We start from the raw sequence: 17,361 nt of genomic DNA, 5'->3' as shown, positions 1-17,361 counted from the left end.
GTATCAGTTACTTACTTTCCTGTGCCAGGTAATCTACAATCATTCAGAGAGAGAAAGAGAGAACAAAAAGGGGCGACGAAGGGAAGTCAGGTCAGGGATGGAACAGTGTCATTATTGAAAGTGTCAGTGTGACTCAAATAACCTTGATGGCACTTGGTCTAATAAGCTGTCACAGACTTTTCATTACACTGTCATCAAAGTCATCTGCAGCCTTTAATTACTCAGTCTCACCACACTCTATTTAACAGAGAAAAGAGGAAGGTATGGAAAAGAGTGAAATTGGCATAAAAAATCCAATAAAGGGCAACGAGCAGGAAACAACAAAAACATGGGAAACTGCCGACCTGAGGAATCGCGCTCTTCTAACTTTACAGCTTCACCTGCCGTGTTTGCTCCTGGAGGACTGAGACTTTTGTCTGATTCGTCTGCTGCTGTCTTCCCGATGCCTAGAACACTGCCTGATGCACGGGAAGTATTTGTCAGATACATCCCATGGCTTCTAATGCCATTTGCAAGGATGAAAGCTGGGTGTGCCCGGCTGTACGGCAATACTTCCAAAGGCCTGTAGGACTCCCCAGTGACTGTCCCATTCACCAGGAGGAGGACTGCAGTCACCTGCATTGTCCTGGGAAGGTCAGCCAGGCCTTTTCCCAATGTCTGTCTGGGAAAAGCCCCGGTGTAGTCTGCTCGGTCCTACACCCAGAATCACGGGGGCTTCAGGAGCAGGCATTACGAGGCAAGGAGTAGCTTCTCCCCCTCACCTCCCACTCAGCAGAACGCACTAGCCCTGTGCTCTTCTGATCCTGAAGGCAGCTGAGTCTGAAAAGTTCCTGTACCTTTAAAGGTACTAGAGGCAGTGTGGTGCCCACTCAGGAACTGCATGATTTAAATAGGTTTCTAGGATAAAGGCAACTCGTAGCACAAAGGAACAAGTCCCAGGGAGTGGCATTCCAGATCATTTGATTCCTGAGCGAAGGAATTATTATGGTGTGGAGGTGGGGACCTCCTTACTACATTCCAAATTGCAATAAGGTTGTAAGGGTTTTCTCTTCCATTCTGAAGTACTTTGACAATAGTTTTGAACTTCAAAAATGTTTATTAAAGGTGTTTTCACAGCAGTTTCATAATGTTTAATTTGTTAATTACTGGAATTGATGCTAAATAAAACAGGCAAGTAATACTTCAGATGGCTTCATCTTCAGAGTCTTCTTCATGTGTGACTCAAAATGCACAATTTTGGCCGGGCACAGTGGCTCACGCCTGTAATCCCAGCACTTTGGGAGGCTGAGACAGGCGGATCACCTGAGGTCAGGAGTTTGAGACCAGTTTGGCCAACATGGTGAAACCCCATCTCTACTAAAAATACAAAAATTAGATGGGCATGGTGGTGTGTGCCTGTAATCCCAGCTGCTTGGGAAGCTGAGGCAGGAGAATTGATTGAACCCAAGAGGCGGGGCTTGCAGTGAGCCGAGATCCCGCTCCAGCCTGGGCAACAAGAGCGAGACTCCGTCTCAAAAAAAGAAAAAAAAAGCACAATTTCAGGACAGCCTAAGCAAATAAAAAATGGGAAATGGAAATGGATTCGAAGCAGGGAGGACGTTCCGCCCACTGTCACACCGAAGGAATGGTGGAGGCTGTGAGTCCTCCGCCCACTGTCACACCGAAGGATGGTGGAGGCTGTGAGTCCTCCTGTAAGCCGCCGCTGGAGAAGGGGCAGCTCTGGAACCTGACGACATTCTCCTATCTTGCATGAGGTGGAGACAAAGAGTCCTTCTGCGCTGGGACAGGATGAGGGCGAAGTGGTGACTTCAGGTCAGAAGCAGAGCCTTGGGGACCTCTGATTCTCAAGGGCGAGCTCCCTCCAGAACCCCAAGAGATGGCCCTGACTGCATGGGAAAGCGTGTCTCACCATTGCAATGTTCTCTAAGTCTGGAGGAGGCGGAGCCCAGTGAGAATGACAGGCAGACCGCAAGGAGGCCCGGAAGCCCCCCATGGCGAGGATGCATCCAAGTGTATTCTGTAGGAGTGACCAGTGGCCACGTGGGTAGTGGGCAGAGCTTGTTTTCCTCCAATATCAGCGTACAGAGCAGGGGAGCCTGGTGAAGGTTTCTCTCTGAAATCATGGATTCAGCTGTATTAGTTTCTATCCAAGGCTGGCATAGCTCACCTTCCACTCCAGCAATGACCTCGGGCCAGCTGTCACGAGCCTTCTCACCACGAGGATGGTCTGGGGTGGTGAGATCTCACTGTTGGCCATAATTCATTCAACATTTCTTCACTTCTCTGCTTGTAAGTTTTCATTTCCTCTGCAGCTGGTAGCTTCTGTCATTTCTTTTCCTATTTATACCAGTCCTGAATCAGCTTCTTTTTCAGAACCATGCATTTCTCTCGGTAGAGGTCGTTAAGAATCTCTCCACTTTCTGCTGCAAGATTTTTTCTTTTGCTTTCTGGCAGAATTTTGGTCGAATGTCATGCCTACATGACCCCTCATCAGTCAGGGTATGTTGGAAACAAAGGATTTGGCAAACATTTGTCCATCAGCACTTCATCCTCCTCCTTCTCTGATTTCTTTAAAAAAAGAAAAAGAGGCCGGGCACGGTGACTCACGCCTGTAATCCCAGCACTTTGGGAGGCTGAGGCAGGCGGATCACTTGAGGTCGGGAGTTTGAGGCCAGCCTGACCAACATGGAGAAACCCCGTCTCTACTAAAAATACAAAACTACCCGAGCATGGTGGTACATGCCTGTAATGCCAGCCACTTGGGAGTCTGAGGCAGGAGAATCACTTGAACCCGGGAGACAGAGGTTGCAGTGAGCTGAGATCATGCTGTTGCACTCCAGCCTGGGCAACAAGAGTGAAACTACATCTCAAAAAAGAAAAAAAAGAACCTTCTCACTCCAGTGATCTGCTTCAACTATAAAATGCAATGTTTTAAAACTTTAATTTCCCTCTCTTTGTAAGCAGTAGTTTCTTATATATCTTTCAAAGATTTCACATTCGAGTTTGTTAGTTCCCTGAGCTCAGTGTATTTCTTATTCCAATCATCTTTCCCCAGTATTTGTTCCATGCACCTCTGAAATTTGGTTATTTTTTTCTTATGCTTGTTGGAACTTAGCCTTTTTTTTTTTAACTTAGCCTTTATTGTGACATATTTTTCCCTCTGAAAATTTAACCCAATGCTATATTAAAATGTGTACTTTTTTCATAGAGTTTTGGCTTTTTTTTTTTTTTAAGACGGAGTCTCGTTGTGTCGCCAGGCTGGAGTGCAGCGACGCGTTCTCAGCTCACTGCAACCTCTGCCTCCCGGATTCAAGTGATTCTCCTGCCTCAGCCTTCTGAGTAGCTGGGACTACAGGCACACTCCACCACGCCTAGTTAATTTTTGTATTTTTAGTAGAGATGGGGTTTCACCACGTTGGCCAGAATGGTCTTGATCTCTTGACTTCATGATCCCCCTGCCTCAGCCTCCCAAAGTGCTATGATTACAGGCGTGAGCCACCGCGCCCGGCCCAGAGTTTTGGCTTTCTAGTAGTTTGTCCTGTTTCTTTATGTGACATTTGTCCTTAGCAGCAAAAATAAGAAGCAGCTTTTCTCCAGGAATCCGATTCCCTTCTTTAGGCCCCCTGACTGTCTCATCCTGCTCACCTCAAACACAGTTGTGTTCTGTACCCTGAGTTCCTGAGAAGATGCTTTGCTGCTTTGATCTTCTGCCTAAAATCTCACAATTGTTTAAGAGTCAGTGTTTTCATGTGGTAGTGTAGTTTTATGCGGTCTATTGTTCCATCCCTTGATGTCTTCTACTCTTTGTAGCAGGAATAGCTTCCAGAATAAACTGACAAACAGCCAGTTCCCTGCAAGGTAATAATTCCAACCGCCAGGGAACCTGGCAGACCCCTAGCAGCACCTCGAAAGAGCCTGTCAACATCCTTCCTGAAGGCGCAGAGCTTTCCACAGCTGAGGGACTTCTGCATTTGTCTCTAGGCCATTTCAGAGGCACCTCATTCCTTAGTTCACAGGCTGTCACACAGCCTCTGCCAGTACCTGCAAACCTCTGTATGGTACTTTCATTCTGAGACCTACTTCTACATTCTCTGGGGTCCTTTTTTTCCCCTAAACAGGATTCACAAGAACAATATTTTTTTAGTTCTTCTATGTTCAAAAATATATGTTACCTTTAAAAAATCCTTGGGCACATTTTCCTTGAAAATGTTATAGAAATTGTTTTATTATCTTCTAGCATTGACTATTGTTTTAGAAAAGTCTGAAACAACCCTGATTTCCCCACCCCACCTTATAAGAGTGACTTGATCTTTTTTCTAACTTGCCCAGAAGATCCTTCCTTTATCAAAGAGCTCCAGGAAGTTGATACTTTTTATCTTTCCTCAATTTCCTAAAAGTTGGGGTTTGCATTTCCTCCATTGAGTGACTTCTGAAAGAAGCAGAAAGTTTACTTGGTTCTGTCTTCTCCAGACCTCATCACCAAGACAGTAGTCTGTTTAACACCCCTGATTTGCATGCCAAGAAAGAGAGTGCAGACTAGTGGGCCAGTTGGGGTGGCTCACGCATGTAATTTCAGCATGTTGGGAGGCCAGGCAGGAGAATAGCTTGAGCCCAGGAGTTTGAGACCAGCCTGAACAATATAGGGAGACCTAGTCTCTAAGAAAATAAAATATAGGCCGGGTACAGTGGCTCACCCCTGTAATCTCAGCACTTTGGGAGGCCAAGGCGGGTGGATCATGAGGTCAGGAGATCGAGACTAGCCTGACAAACATGGTGAAACCCTGTCTCTACGAAAAATACAAAAATTCGCCAGGCGTGGTGGGGCACACCTGTAATCCCAGCTACTCAGGAGGCTGAGTCAGGAGAATTGCTTGAACCTGGGAGGCGGAAGTTGCACTGCGATCACGCCACTGCATTCCAGCCTGGCAACAGAGTGAGACTCTGTCTCAAAAAAAAGAAACAAAGAAAAAGAAAAAAAAAATTAAAAAACAAATAAGCAAACAAGAAAGTGCAGGGGGCCGGGCACAGTGGCTCATGCCTGTAATCCCAGCACTTTGGGAGGCCAATGCGGGTGGATCACGAGGTCAGGAGTTCGAGACCAGCCTGGCCAACATGGTGAAACCCCGTCTCTACTAAAAATACAAAAATCAGCCAGGCATGATGGGAGCGCCTGTAGTCCCAGCTACTCGGGAGGCTGAGGCAGGAGAATCACTTGAAACCGGAAGACGGAGGTTGCAGTGAGCCAAGATCACGCCACTGCACTCTAGCCTGGGTGAAAGAGCGAACTCTGTCTCAAAAAAAAAAAAAAAAGAAAGAAAGAAAAAGAAAGAAAGAAAGAAAGAAAGAAAGAAAGAAAGAAAGAAAGAAAGAACAAAGAAAAGAAAGTGCAGACTAGTAATTCAACTCTGATTCCTGAGGAAGTATTTCCTTCTCTCCTTCCACTCTGTCTTAACCAGAAATCTTAGTTATGCATTACCAACATAGACAAACAAGGGTGAAAACGCAGGCGTAGGAAAATGGCTATAGGGAAGTGAAAGATGATTGCAGAGGAGGGCATATCATCCAGGCCCTTCCACGCTCACCACAGCCAGGAGCCGCAAAGTCTGGGAAGGATGGGATGTGGGCTGGACCTGGCCAAGAGGTAATTATGGAGAAAGAGGAGGAAGGTTTCTTTGTACTTAATCTGCAGAACAATCTGCTCCTGCTTCAGGTTAGAGGTACCTGGGGGCTTTTCCTAATTGCCTTATATTTGTGATTTTTTTAACCCAAGTTCTGTTATTATTTGCCCGTGCTTAGTTTCAGGCAATGTGGAAGGTATAAAGGCCAATGAACTAACTCGAATCCAATCAGGAGTTCTCAGAATGGGGCAGGCAAGAGCATCTGTTGGAGCATGGGAAGAAAATCAGAACCTCTGTTTGTTTCATATAAAAATAAAGAAATTATGCTTTAGGTAGTTAGAGTTCAAAATGACACAGGTGCCCTCACAGGATGCTTATGTTTTGTGGCCATGTGTCATGAATTGTTCCCTGGAAAGGGAGATCCATAAAGGAGGAACTGTAGCTGGGTTTGCTGAGCATATTATCTCCTGTTTGCTCCCCTGACTTGCACAACTGGCAAGCGGCTTTAAAGCCGACAGCAAAGAAGCTGCAAAATGAAGATGACATTAGTGATATGAACACGCACAAAAAATAAGGAAATGGCCAGGTTGACACTCTGCTCCTTTATATAAGCTCTCTGTCAAGCCCATTTCAGGGTAAGAAAGTCATGAGGAACCCCAAGTCTGCCTAGATGTTGGCCAAAATAAAACTGGAAGTAATAGAAAAGTTGGAAATATTAATATCTGATATCATTAACAATGTACCTCATACTAAGTATATTGTGCCTTGGAATATTAGCTTATAAGAATAAATATATATAATTTAAGAATAAATAAATATACATATATTGGGAATGTATACCCTCCTTTTTCTTTTGTTAATAGAGATATACAATGAAAACTCATTACACCACTGCTCTGATGTAATAAATGCAAAACCTGTACCAGTCCTATGATGCAAACTGGGGGCATAGAGCATAGGCAGTCCATTGCTCCTGGCAACTAGTGGGACGTATCACAGATAGATGAGCTGCATCATGAAGAATGAGTGAGATGCCCCAGGCGAGGAAGCAGAGAGGGTCATTCCAGGTAATGGATTAGTGTGAGCAGAGACTCAGAAACTTCAGAGAGCATGTCCTTTTTGGAGATCAGTGTGCAGGTTAATGTCCCCTGGAATGGACTGCATATACCAGACGGGTGGCAAATAACACTGGAAAGGTAGGTAATGTCCAGACTGAAGGACCTGAATTGTATGATAAGTGTTTGGACCACATACTATAAGCAATACAGAGTTGATGGAGATGTATGAACAACCTACAGAATGGGAGAAAATATTTGCAATATGCCGCAGACAAAGGACTAATATCCAGAATTTATAAGGAACTTAAATCAGCAAGAAAAGAATCAATAACCCCATTAAAAAGAGAGCAAAGGATATGAACAGACATTTTTCAAAAGAAGACATACAAGTGGCCAACAAACATGAAAAAAATGCTCAACATACTGATCATTAGGAAAATGTAAATCAAAATCACAATGAGATACCACTTCACAGCAGTCATTATTATTAAAAAGTAAAAACAAAACAAAACAAAAAAAAACAGATATTGGCAAGGCTGCAGAGAAAAAGGAATGCTTATTTGCTGTTGGTGCGAATGTAAATTAGTTCGGCCACTGTGGAAAGCAGTTTGGAGATTTCTCAAAGAACTAAAAATAGAACTACCATTCAACCCAGCAGTCCCATTACTGGGTATATACCCCCCGCCCCAAAAAAATCATTCTACCAAAAAGACACATGAGCTCCTGTGTTCCTCATAGCACTATTCACAATAGCAAAGACATGGAATCAACCTAGGTGCCCATCAATGGTGGAATGGATTAAGAAAATGTGGTACACACACACCACAGAATACTACACAGCCCTTAAAAAAAAGAAAACAAAATCACGTCCTTGGCAGCAACATGGATGCAGCTGAAGGTCATTATCCTAAGCGAAATAATACAGAAACAGAAAACTAAATACTGCATGTTCTCACTTATAAGTGGGAGCTAAATATTGGGTGCACACGGACAAAAAGATGGGAACAATAGACGCTGAGGACTCCAAAAGGAGAGAAGGAAGGAGCAGAGCAAGGGCTGAAAAACTCCCTATTGGGTACTACGTTCACTATCTGGGTAACCAGGTCGATAGAAGCCCGGACGCTCAGCATCATGCAATATACCCTCGTAATAAACCCGCACATGGACTCCCTGAATCTAAAATTAAAATAGAAATTTTAAAAAAGAAGCAGGCTGGGCATGTGAAGCCCAAAGAACTCCGTTTGGAAACTGCACTGCTGTCTCTGCAGTGTGGCCACAGTGACTGCCCGCCCACCAAGCATCTAGAGCCCAGAGGCAGGGGTGTTGCTGCATGGATGTGTCCACCTGGATACGCACGTTTTCATTTCATTTAAATGGCAAACAAAGGTCTTGGGCAGATTTCGAAAAGCACTGGTGAGCTGCGGAGACATTTCCGAGCAGGAGCTGATGTGGAGGGTTTTCAGCGCCGGGTGAGGGTCCCGCAGCCACAGCGATGTTCTAGCCTCCGCCGCGGAACTCACAGAGGTTCCCCCGCCATAGCCTCCCGCGTGCGCTCCTGCGCTTCCACCAGACCTTATTTATAAGTCTGTTGATTTCGCAGGCCGCACCTTGCAAGGGGCACACGGTCCGTCTTATTATTTCATAATCACTTCTTCTCTTTTTGTTTTCCACCCGGCCTGGCTCTGTGTCTAGGACTCAGCGTGCATTCCCTGGGCTCGGCCTGCCCCGCCTGCCTAAGAATCCCACAAATCATTGACAGCGTGGGGGAGGGGAGATTGCCTGTAGCAGGGAAATGGCGCCCTAGAAAAGCCAGGATGCTACTCCCTCCGCCGATTTGTAGGACAAAGCAGGCAAAGCTCTCTCGTGGAAGCTCGGCTCTCTCAGTCCCGACCGAGGCCATTATAACTCAAATTCACAACCTCCGGGGATGCGAAAACACCCGGCCTTACTGAGGAACAAAGGGCAAGTGTTCCCGCACTGCGCTGCGTTCGTGGGCTCGGGGTTTTCGCTGCTGGTTCCAGCTTTTGGTTGCCCTGCTTGGCTGGTCCCTGCGGGGCCCACGGCTGCGGAAGGACAGGGCTCTGAGGCTGCCACCCCGCAGCCCCTGCGACTAAACAGTGCCGGGCAGCTCCGCCGGGGCCGCTGGCTTCCCAGGCGGAGGAGGGAAGGCCTGGGGGGAAGGGGGAGGGCAATGGAATAGAAACTGGGGAGCGACAAAGCTGAGAAGGCGCAGATCTTGGCGGATCCCGGGAGCTTCCTCCACTGTGTCCTTTCCGCAGTCACAGTATGGGGCTGCGACCGCTTCCTAGCCCCCATGCCCCGGGCATTTGGCTCTTTTACATAAATGCTAGGATTGGTAGCTTTCCAATATTTCTAAATGGAGAGCTATGAGAAGAGGTGATGTGTGTGTGTGTGTGTGTGTGTGTGTGTGTGCGTGTGTGTGTGTAAGGAAATAATGATGGATTTGCAGTCTCTTTCTTTCAACTCCTCTTCATTCATTGGCTAAGTGTCGGTTGCCTAGGAAACCGCGTGCATCTCGGCTGCAGAGCCAGCTATGGGGGCTGCGGGCTGGGTTTTTGGGGTTTTAAGCGGTGAATCCTGGCAAGCAGTGAAGAACCCTAATGCTAAATGTCTAGTAATTTCAATAAATGTGTCAAAAATATATGCTACATTATGAAAACAGTGCTTTAAAAATTTACTACTATATAAAGCCTCTTTTCTATCAGACTTCTTCAAACAATGACTGTGTGTGTAATAGAGAAATGCAAATTCACTTGAGGACATGCCGTTGAAAGTAATCTGAAAATTGTGAAAGCAAATATAATTTTAATAGTTTAAGGGATATCTTGCTCACCTCAGTCACGCAATAGATTACGTATAAAACAAATGTTGAATTGTATTTTATGCAGCAATATTTCTACAATTGTCTCTGGAAGGGAAAATTTTTAAATGTTAGTACATCATCAAGACTAACATTAAGAGATCATGAAATATGTTGCCCCGAAATCTTCGTGCCTGATATACGATGACCTAGATTGAGACGCATTGCATATAATGAATAGACAGAAATGCTGGGGACCCAACTGAAAACGACTTTTTTTTTCTTTGAAAGCCGGGTACCAGTCTCTTTATGCGAGCTACATGGATTAAGAATGATTTTTTTGTTTAAGGGTTATCAGATAAACTGAAAGACTTCAGGGAAAGGTGTGGCTGTTGTCAACATTTTAACACAAAATCGGCTCCTTGTGAAAATAAAAATGTGCAGCATCACAATTCCAGTGGGGGTGGGGGTGGGGGTGCGATGTAGACCGGTTAACAAGACTGGCTGCCCGGAAGGGGCAGGGGTGTGGGGACAATTCGAGCAAAATGCTTGAAAGGAAAGCAGATCTTGGGCCAAAAGTGTCCCCAAGGGCACTCTGGGCTTTCAGAAGGATGATTTCCAGCCTCATCCTATCCCAAACCAACCCCTTTAAAAGAAACCTGAGAGGAAAGGGTCTTTTCATCTATCTATATGATCTTGAACACGCGTTTTCACCCGGGCACTGAATGGAGATTTGGCTCGGAAACAGAAGCTGAGAAATGAATTGGTTAGATGAAGGAGGCAGGCGGCCAGCTCAAGTTACTCAGCATGGAGCTGAGCGGCCCCCAACCCCACCCCCCAGCGCTGAGCATCAGGGTTGCTCCTGGGAGCTCGCAGCGAGGGGGTGACCGCTCCGAGTGTGTCTACACTCGCCGCGCGGGTGCCGCCCTAGCTCTGTTCCTTCCGGCGCAGCTTGGTCCCACCAGAGCCGCCACCTCGAGGCTGACACCTGCCACAGCCCTTTTGGCCGAGATGCGGTCACTTTCCCTGAGGTCTGGTGTGCCCAAAAGACGAGATTCCAGTCCGAGCCCTGTCCTCAACTTGCTGTATGACCTTGGGAATTGCTAGCCCTCGACGTTTCGGCATCTGCAGGATCTGGATTAGAAACTCGGAGGTCAGGCCCCGAGACCTTGGTACCGGGAGAGCAGGGCATGTGGACAGACCCTCCGCTGCTCTCTGCCTCTCGGTAGACCCCACCCTCACCCGGGCACGCCGGCCGGGTCTGGAATACCGGCCGGCGAGCTCCAGTCTGGGCGCCCTGGATGTTTGGGGGCGCCTGGGCTTTTGTTCTCGCTACTTCTCTTTGTACATTGGAATCGACTTGAACCCCCCACCCTCCACCCCACAGCGGGAAAGGGAGGCGATGACAGCTTGCTGATAGTTCTGGGAGGGTCTCGCTCAACAGCTGCAGGCTGAGCTCCGCCGCGTGCGCCCGGGTCATTCGGCCTTTCTCGCCAGGGGATGAAAGAGGTCACGTCACCTCGCCAACGGCCCTTCCGAAGTGTGGGGCGGCGCGCTTCAGTCATCGAATTGCAGGGAACAGGTTGTGCAGTGAACGTTTCTGACACCCTTTCCCCTCCCGCCCTCAAACGCACGCAGGATTAGTCTCTCTCTCTCTCTCTTTCTCTCTCTCTCTCACACACACACACACACACGCGCGCGCGAAAAGTAACAAAGAGACCAGTTCCTGCCTCAGTACCTAGAGACTGCGGATCTGAAGGGAGGGTCTGTGCTCCAAGTCTGTGCACGCGCTCGTGCGAGTGCGCGTGGGTCTTGGGTCGTCTCGCGCGCGCTGGGCTGCAGTTTTTAGTCGTATTCCCCACCCTTCAACCGCAGCACGAAGCCTCGGACCTCCAGGTCGCCGCGATGGAAGATAAGAAAGTTTGTTACTCGGGCTTGGGCCACCCTTGGAACCCACCCTCTTACTTGACAATAGATGAACTGAATCCGAGGGCGGGGTGGGGGGGTGGGGCGCCTGTCGTGTGGTTTTAAATACTGGGTTACACAGCGTATCCCACGTTTCTGAGAGCCCTTTGTTCCGCCGACAGCCCCGCCCCCGGGACCCCACCCTCTTTCTGCCCTCCGGACGGTCAGTGCAGCGCCACCGGCCACTCCCACTCCATCACTAGCGAGCAACAAAAGTCAACCCCCGGGGCAGAGGGCTCCTGGGTACCAGCAGGGGCGTTATGCACTCCCGGAGAGGGTCGGGCAGGGCTGAGGGGCTCCGAGGTCGCTTCACCCCTAGATGCTGCGGCGCAGTGAGAGGAGCTACCAGCCCAAGACAGACAAAGGAGAAAGCAGGCCCACGCTGGGGCGGGGGCGGAGGCCGCGCTGGTGTTCATGGGCCGCAGGTGTCCCGGTTGCCATCAAGCACGACTTCCTTCTGGGGCCACCTGTCCTCCCCCAGGCCTCTGTGAGACGGAGCGCCGCCTGGGCAGTCGCTGGCCTCCAGGGTTGAGGAAAAAGACGGTGGTCTCACCAGGGGCAGTTGGCTGGAGGGACTCTGGCCAGTGGCCGAGTAGGAGCCGCAGTCCGAGGTGGCGGAGCAGCCTGTGCCACCTCAGCCCTCCCACCTGCCGGCACTGGAGCACCTGACGGCTTCTCCACATGCTCCAGTCCTCCATCGTTCCCATCCGGTGCCAGCTCTGCCCCCACCCCGGTCAGGACGCGCTGGTGGCCCTCGCCTCGCCGCCCTCTCACCCTCCTTTTCTTCACTGTTCCCCCATATCCCCATACCCAGACCCCCACCACAGCCCCAGACAATGCGCACGCCCCCACCATACTCCCGGTAGCCCCCACCCCTCTCCCGGTCGGCACGCCCGCTCTGATTGGCCGCGGGCCGGTGGTCCAGCCCCCCGGACGGTCCCTAGGGCTCGGAGCATTACGTCAGCCGGGCCTGGAGAGCGCCAGCGCGAAGGGGACTGGGGGGCTCGGGCTGGGGGCGCGGCCTGTGCCGGCCGCCCCACCCTCCTTGCATAAAAGCCGGAGCCCGCGGGGCCGGCGCTCTCAGCCCGTCGGTTCCCGAGCGCCTTCCCGGTGACCCCGCAGTGGGTGTGTGAGGGGAGGACGGACAGACCCAGACGCCGCCGGACCAGGAGGACGCTGACGAGGCACCATGCGTGAGATCGTGCACATCCAGGCGGGCCAGTGCGGCAACCAGATCGGCGCCAAGGTGGGCGCGCCGCAGCGGAGGGGGTCCAATGGGGGCGCGAACCTGGGCCGAGAGCCCCTCGGGGTCCCCAGGCGCGGTCCTGGGAAGGCCTGGGGATCGCCAAATGCAGACCTTCCTGGCCGCTTTGTGCCGCCGAGTGTGGCCTGGGCTAGGAGGTGACTTTCGCGGACGGAGGGGGCACCTCTCTTTCTTTCTGCTGTAACTCATTTGGAGTCCCCGTCACCCCCTCGGCCTCCCTCCGCGCTGGCTGCTTGGCAGGCACGCGTGCCTGGAGAAGACGAGGGTGTGTCCGCGAGGCTGTGCGCGGCGCTCCGCGCGAGGGGCTGGGACACCAGGAGGATTAATTGTACTCGCTTGAACCGGAGTCGAGCTGCCGGGGGAGGGGAGGAGAGCGATTGTCTTGCGGTCTCAGGACGTGCTTTGAATCTAAAACCGCGGTCCTTTAGCTCCTTTGCGTTCCTCTTTCCCCGCCCACCCGCTCCTGGCGGGCTGCAGTCCCTGTGCCCTCGCCTCCTGCCGCAGCCTGGGGCTGCGACCAGTGCGCCAAGCTCCGCCACTGCCCGGCTTTGGCTGGTCCTTACCCCCTCGACCCCTACCTCCCCCCGCGAGCGGCAGCTGTTTGCCTGGGAAACGCCCAGTTTCAACTTTCTGAACCTGCAAAATACAAGCCCCGCGGCTGTGCCCGGGTCACGACGCCCTTTAAAGCTTCAAGCTCCTGAAATGTTGGGTTGTCGGAACTGAGTCGGGGACATTTCATTGTGAGCCTTGGCGTTTCTGGGGGCATCGTTCATGGCTAAATGCAGCCTTTCTGTCTCAGTTTTGGGAGGTCATCAGTGATGAGCATGGGATTGACCCCACTGGCAGTTACCATGGAGACAGTGATTTGCAGCTGGAGAGAATCAATGTTTACTACAATGAAGCCACTGGTAATCACCCTTGCCCCACCCCCACTCCCTTCAGTTTTTCCACCTTCTCCCCTTTCCCTTGCGTGGGACCCCAGGGGTGTGGCCCTGGGAGAGGGTGGACTATTCAGTTTAGGATCCCCGCTCTTTCCCTGCAGTATTTCATTGGGCTTCCTTATGCCAACAGAGCCCTTTGAGAACCTGATGGTGGGTCTCCCTTTGTTTGGGGCAACATCTGCATGATGGCAGCAGGCGCCAAGCCCTTCTCTGCAGAGGTCCTTGCCTGAGGGTCTAAGTCACTGTTGTTCCTTGCAGGTAACAAATATGTTCCTCGGGCCATCCTCGTGGATCTGGAGCCAGGCACGATGGATTCGGTTAGGTCTGGACCATTCGGCCAGATCTTCAGACCAGACAATTTCGTGTTTGGTGAGTGCCTGGTGTGGCTGAGAGCATGAGGGATTCATTTTACGCTGGGCAGTGGAGGCTGAAGAGGTGTGATTGCCAGAGGGAAAGCATGAAGAACATCCGCGGTGTGCCAACTTAGCTTTAATATAGTGTAAAATTGTTTGCCTTTCAGCTGCTAAGAGCTTGGTGTCCTGGCCTTCCTTATTTATAATTATATTCATGAACAAATATTTTAACGTTTGGCCATTTTGGTGATAATCTGAAATAGTCTTATCTGAGCATTGACTCACTGATCTATATTGAGGGGTTTGAGGTAAGGTATTTAGTACAATCACCGGTGACTTAAGATTTCTCTTTCCCTCTGGCAGGCCAGAGTGGAGCCGGGAATAACTGGGCCAAGGGCCACTACACAGAGGGAGCCGAGCTGGTCGACTCGGTCCTGGATGTGGTGAGGAAGGAGTCAGAGAGCTGTGACTGTCTCCAGGGCTTCCAGCTGACCCACTCTCTGGGGGGCGGCACGGGGTCCGGGATGGGCACCCTGCTCATCAGCAAGATCCGGGAAGAGTACCCAGACCGCATCATGAACACCTTCAGCGTCATGCCCTCACCCAAGGTGTCAGACACGGTGGTGGAGCCCTACAACGCCACCCTCTCGGTCCACCAGCTGGTGGAAAACACAGATGAAACCTACTGCATTGACAACGAGGCCCTGTATGACATCTGCTTCCGCACCCTGAAGCTGACCACCCCCACCTACGGGGACCTCAACCACCTGGTGTCGGCCACCATGAGCGGGGTCACCACCTGCCTGCGCTTCCCGGGCCAGCTGAACGCAGACCTGCGCAAGCTGGCGGTGAACATGGTGCCCTTCCCTCGCCTGCACTTCTTCATGCCCGGCTTCGCGCCCCTGACCAGCCGGGGCAGCCAGCAGTACCGGGCGCTCACGGTGCCCGAGCTCACCCAGCAGATGTTCGACTCCAAGAACATGATGGCCGCCTGCGACCCGCGCCACGGCCGCTACCTGACGGTGGCTGCCATCTTCCGGGGCCGCATGTCCATGAAGGAGGTGGACGAGCAGATGCTCAACGTGCAGAACAAGAACAGCAGCTACTTCGTGGAGTGGATCCCCAACAACGTGAAGACGGCCGTGTGCGACATCCCGCCCCGCGGCCTGAAGATGTCGGCCACCTTCATCGGCAACAGCACGGCCATCCAGGAGCTGTTCAAGCGCATCTCCGAGCAGTTCACGGCCATGTTCCGGCGCAAGGCCTTCCTGCACTGGTACACGGGCGAGGGCATGGACGAGATGGAGTTCACCGAGGCCGAGAGCAACATGAACGACCTGGTGTCCGAGTACCAGCAGTACCAGGACGCCACGGCCGACGAACAAGGGGAGTTCGAGGAGGAGGAGGGCGAGGACGAGGCGTAGATGCCCCCGCGAGACGGGTTAGGGAAAGCGGAGGAGGAAAGCGAGGGGGTGGGGGGCTTCCCGGGACGATAACCTGGCAGTGGAAGGAAAGAAGCATGGTCTACTTTAGGTGTGCGCTGGGTCTCTGGTGCTCTTCACTGTTGCCTGTCACTTTTTTTTTCCTTTTTTGTAATATTGATGACATCAATGTAACATTTGAGATATTTCTGAATTACTGTTGTAATGGCTAAAATCACATAAACGTTTGTGTCGGAATGGTGTCCTCTCTTTCTCTTCCTTTTTCTCTTTATTAACGATTTAAATGTAACTTTCTGAACACATTGCATTGAATTCTTCCTTTAACAAAAAGCAAAGGCGTAGGTAAAAGCTCAAATGAATTTATTCTTTCGGTATGGTAAAATTGAACCAATCACAGTTAAGATGAGAGATCAACCTGAGTTTTAAAATACCTTTAATAAATATTAGTTGAAAAAATGTCTACTTGAAAGCACAGTGTGTGTCTTCATGTGCAATTCCTACTATGCTTTTATCTCCTTTACAAAAAAAAAAAAAGCATTTTTGGAATAGTTCCTACATACTCACAGCACAAAATTCTGAAGAGTGGAAAGTGAGTGTGTCTTTTTCCTGTGTTCCTTGATGCAGTTTCCTCCCTGGAGGGAAACCATCCTAATCACGGTTATCTTTCTTACTTCCTTGCAGAAATACTCCATATATTTTCAAACCCATGTAGGATATTTCCTTTTTCTCTTTCTTCACACACATGATGTGATACTAACACAATTCTGCAGCCTTCTTCACTAAACAGTGTATCTTGAACCTACAGAGAGCTTCCCTCCTTTAAATGGATATGTAGCGTCCATTATATAGTTGTGCTATGTTTTATTTAGCCAATTCCCTACCAATGGTCATTAAGGTTTATACTTACAGCATAGTGTCACAATGAATAATTTTGTTCATTTATTAGTGTGCATATGAGAATAGTTATCCTGTAAATTTCCACAAATGGAATTTTTTGTCAAAGGCATGTGCCTTTTTAAGTTATATCACCTGCACTTAGGAATAGCTATAGAGTTATAAACAGTGAATAGGCTCATTCTCAATTCTCAAGCAACTTTTTCTCCAGGCAATCATATTTATACTATATTACAAACTATTTGTACTTATTTTTAACATCATTTGAGTTTAGATGGAATTATAAATTCTGCATTGTTGGGGAATTTTACTTTAAGTAGGCAATCCAGAATAATTTTCAGCCTATTGCATTTTTTTTTCCATGCAGAAATAGGATTTGGGATTTGAACCCAAGTCTGACTCTGGACTTGAACTCAACCACTAAAGAAGCTATAGGATTTCAATAATGGATTTTCAGTTAAGATGTTCCTATGGGATAAATTATACCTTGTCAAAATACTGCTGATACTCTGCTTTAATCTGAGCTAGTTTCTCATTTTGAGAAGAGAAAAAGAGTGTGAGTTATAAGCAAAGGTACAAAACTTATTTACACACCCCTATAGAAAGAAAGGATCATGAAAACCAGGTTTAAGATTTTTCTAGTTTTCACACAAACTCAAAATTAGAAAAAATATGACCTTAAACCTGACCTTATATTTATTTTATTCTGCTTGGTCCTACACTTACTTAAATGTTAAAAAAAGAAAGAAAAGTGTAGATACAAGATTTCCATTATTTAAAAGGCTGAAATATATTTGAAAATAGTTCCAAAGAAAACCATAAGCAGTATAATTCCAAATAGTGTGAAAATAAGTTAATTCTGCCACATGGCTCCCATAAATGGAAAAGAGCACAATTCACTTTACCAAGCATTATATACCTCTAAAACTTGACTGAGTGATGAGTAGGGTCAGACAGGTGTCTGGAGCCAGTGGCTTCAGCTCAGTTTTCTATATTTAGCTGCAG

At 49.2% G+C, this 17,361-nt stretch overlaps 1 protein-coding gene and 1 long non-coding RNA gene across 2 annotated transcripts, besides 7 other annotated features; one reads left to right on the top strand and one right to left on the bottom strand.

Annotated features, from left to right (window-relative positions):
- Positions 1 to 211: 211 nt before the first annotated feature.
- Positions 212 to 8,792, bottom strand: LOC100422781 (uncharacterized). The gene is made up of 2 exons (NR_147505.1): positions 8,033 to 8,792; positions 212 to 2,860 (listed from the first exon to the last, which is right to left on the bottom strand). It is a non-coding gene; the product is annotated as an uncharacterized LOC100422781 (long non-coding RNA).
- Positions 1,261 to 1,760: an enhancer, noted in NCBI's record as "H3K4me1 hESC enhancer chr6:3238669-3239168 (GRCh37/hg19 assembly coordinates)". NCBI's record gives its function as "activates a minimal SCP1, AML or CMV promoter by ChIP-STARR-seq in primed H9 embryonic stem cells {active_cell/tissue: H9 hESC(primed)}" and the evidence as "EXISTENCE:reporter gene assay evidence [ECO:0000049][PMID:30033119]".
- Positions 4,406 to 4,515: an enhancer, noted in NCBI's record as "active region_23886". NCBI's record gives its function as "activates an Ori minimal core promoter by ATAC-STARR-seq in GM12878 lymphoblastoid cells {active_cell/tissue: GM12878}" and the evidence as "EXISTENCE:reporter gene assay evidence [ECO:0000049][PMID:35858748]".
- Positions 7,613 to 8,395: an enhancer, noted in NCBI's record as "H3K27ac hESC enhancer chr6:3232034-3232816 (GRCh37/hg19 assembly coordinates)". NCBI's record gives its function as "activates a minimal SCP1, AML or CMV promoter by ChIP-STARR-seq in naive H9 embryonic stem cells {active_cell/tissue: H9 hESC(naive)}" and the evidence as "EXISTENCE:reporter gene assay evidence [ECO:0000049][PMID:30033119]".
- Positions 10,388 to 10,944: an enhancer, noted in NCBI's record as "H3K27ac-H3K4me1 hESC enhancer chr6:3229485-3230041 (GRCh37/hg19 assembly coordinates)". NCBI's record gives its function as "activates a minimal SCP1, AML or CMV promoter by ChIP-STARR-seq in primed H9 embryonic stem cells {active_cell/tissue: H9 hESC(primed)}" and the evidence as "EXISTENCE:reporter gene assay evidence [ECO:0000049][PMID:30033119]".
- Positions 12,240 to 12,898: an enhancer, noted in NCBI's record as "H3K27ac hESC enhancer chr6:3227531-3228189 (GRCh37/hg19 assembly coordinates)". NCBI's record gives its function as "activates a minimal SCP1, AML or CMV promoter by ChIP-STARR-seq in naive H9 embryonic stem cells {active_cell/tissue: H9 hESC(naive)}" and the evidence as "EXISTENCE:reporter gene assay evidence [ECO:0000049][PMID:30033119]".
- Positions 12,346 to 12,635: a silencer, noted in NCBI's record as "silent region_16849". NCBI's record gives its function as "represses an Ori minimal core promoter by ATAC-STARR-seq in GM12878 lymphoblastoid cells {active_cell/tissue: GM12878}" and the evidence as "EXISTENCE:reporter gene assay evidence [ECO:0000049][PMID:35858748]".
- On the top strand, positions 12,542 to 15,918 carry TUBB2B (tubulin beta 2B class IIb). The gene is made up of 4 exons (NM_178012.5): positions 12,542 to 12,708; positions 13,526 to 13,634; positions 13,926 to 14,036; positions 14,384 to 15,918. The coding sequence occupies exons 1-4, from the start codon at positions 12,652 to 12,654 to the stop codon at positions 15,442 to 15,444; spliced, it is 1,338 nt and encodes a 445-aa protein (NP_821080.1). The 5' UTR covers positions 12,542 to 12,651; the 3' UTR covers positions 15,445 to 15,918.
- Positions 12,899 to 13,559: an enhancer, noted in NCBI's record as "H3K27ac hESC enhancer chr6:3226870-3227530 (GRCh37/hg19 assembly coordinates)". NCBI's record gives its function as "activates a minimal SCP1, AML or CMV promoter by ChIP-STARR-seq in naive H9 embryonic stem cells {active_cell/tissue: H9 hESC(naive)}" and the evidence as "EXISTENCE:reporter gene assay evidence [ECO:0000049][PMID:30033119]".

The sequence above is a fragment of the Homo sapiens genome, chromosome 6 (genome assembly GCF_000001405.40).
Source record: "Homo sapiens chromosome 6, GRCh38.p14 Primary Assembly".
Classification (NCBI taxonomy): Eukaryota; Metazoa; Chordata; class Mammalia; order Primates; family Hominidae; genus Homo; species Homo sapiens.
Note: the sequence above shows the minus strand (reverse complement) of the source record. Positions and strands in the feature narration are given on the sequence as shown.

Coding starts and splice junctions, on each gene's coding strand:
- TUBB2B (NM_178012.5), top strand. CDS start 12,652: ATGCGTGAGATCGTGCACATCCAGGCGGGCCAGTGCGGCAACCAGATC. Junction 12,709..13,525: donor GCAACCAGATCGGCGCCAAG/GTGGGCGCGCCG, acceptor TTTCTGTCTCAG/TTTTGGGAGGTCATCAGTGA. Junction 13,635..13,925: donor TTACTACAATGAAGCCACTG/GTAATCACCCTT, acceptor TGTTCCTTGCAG/GTAACAAATATGTTCCTCGG.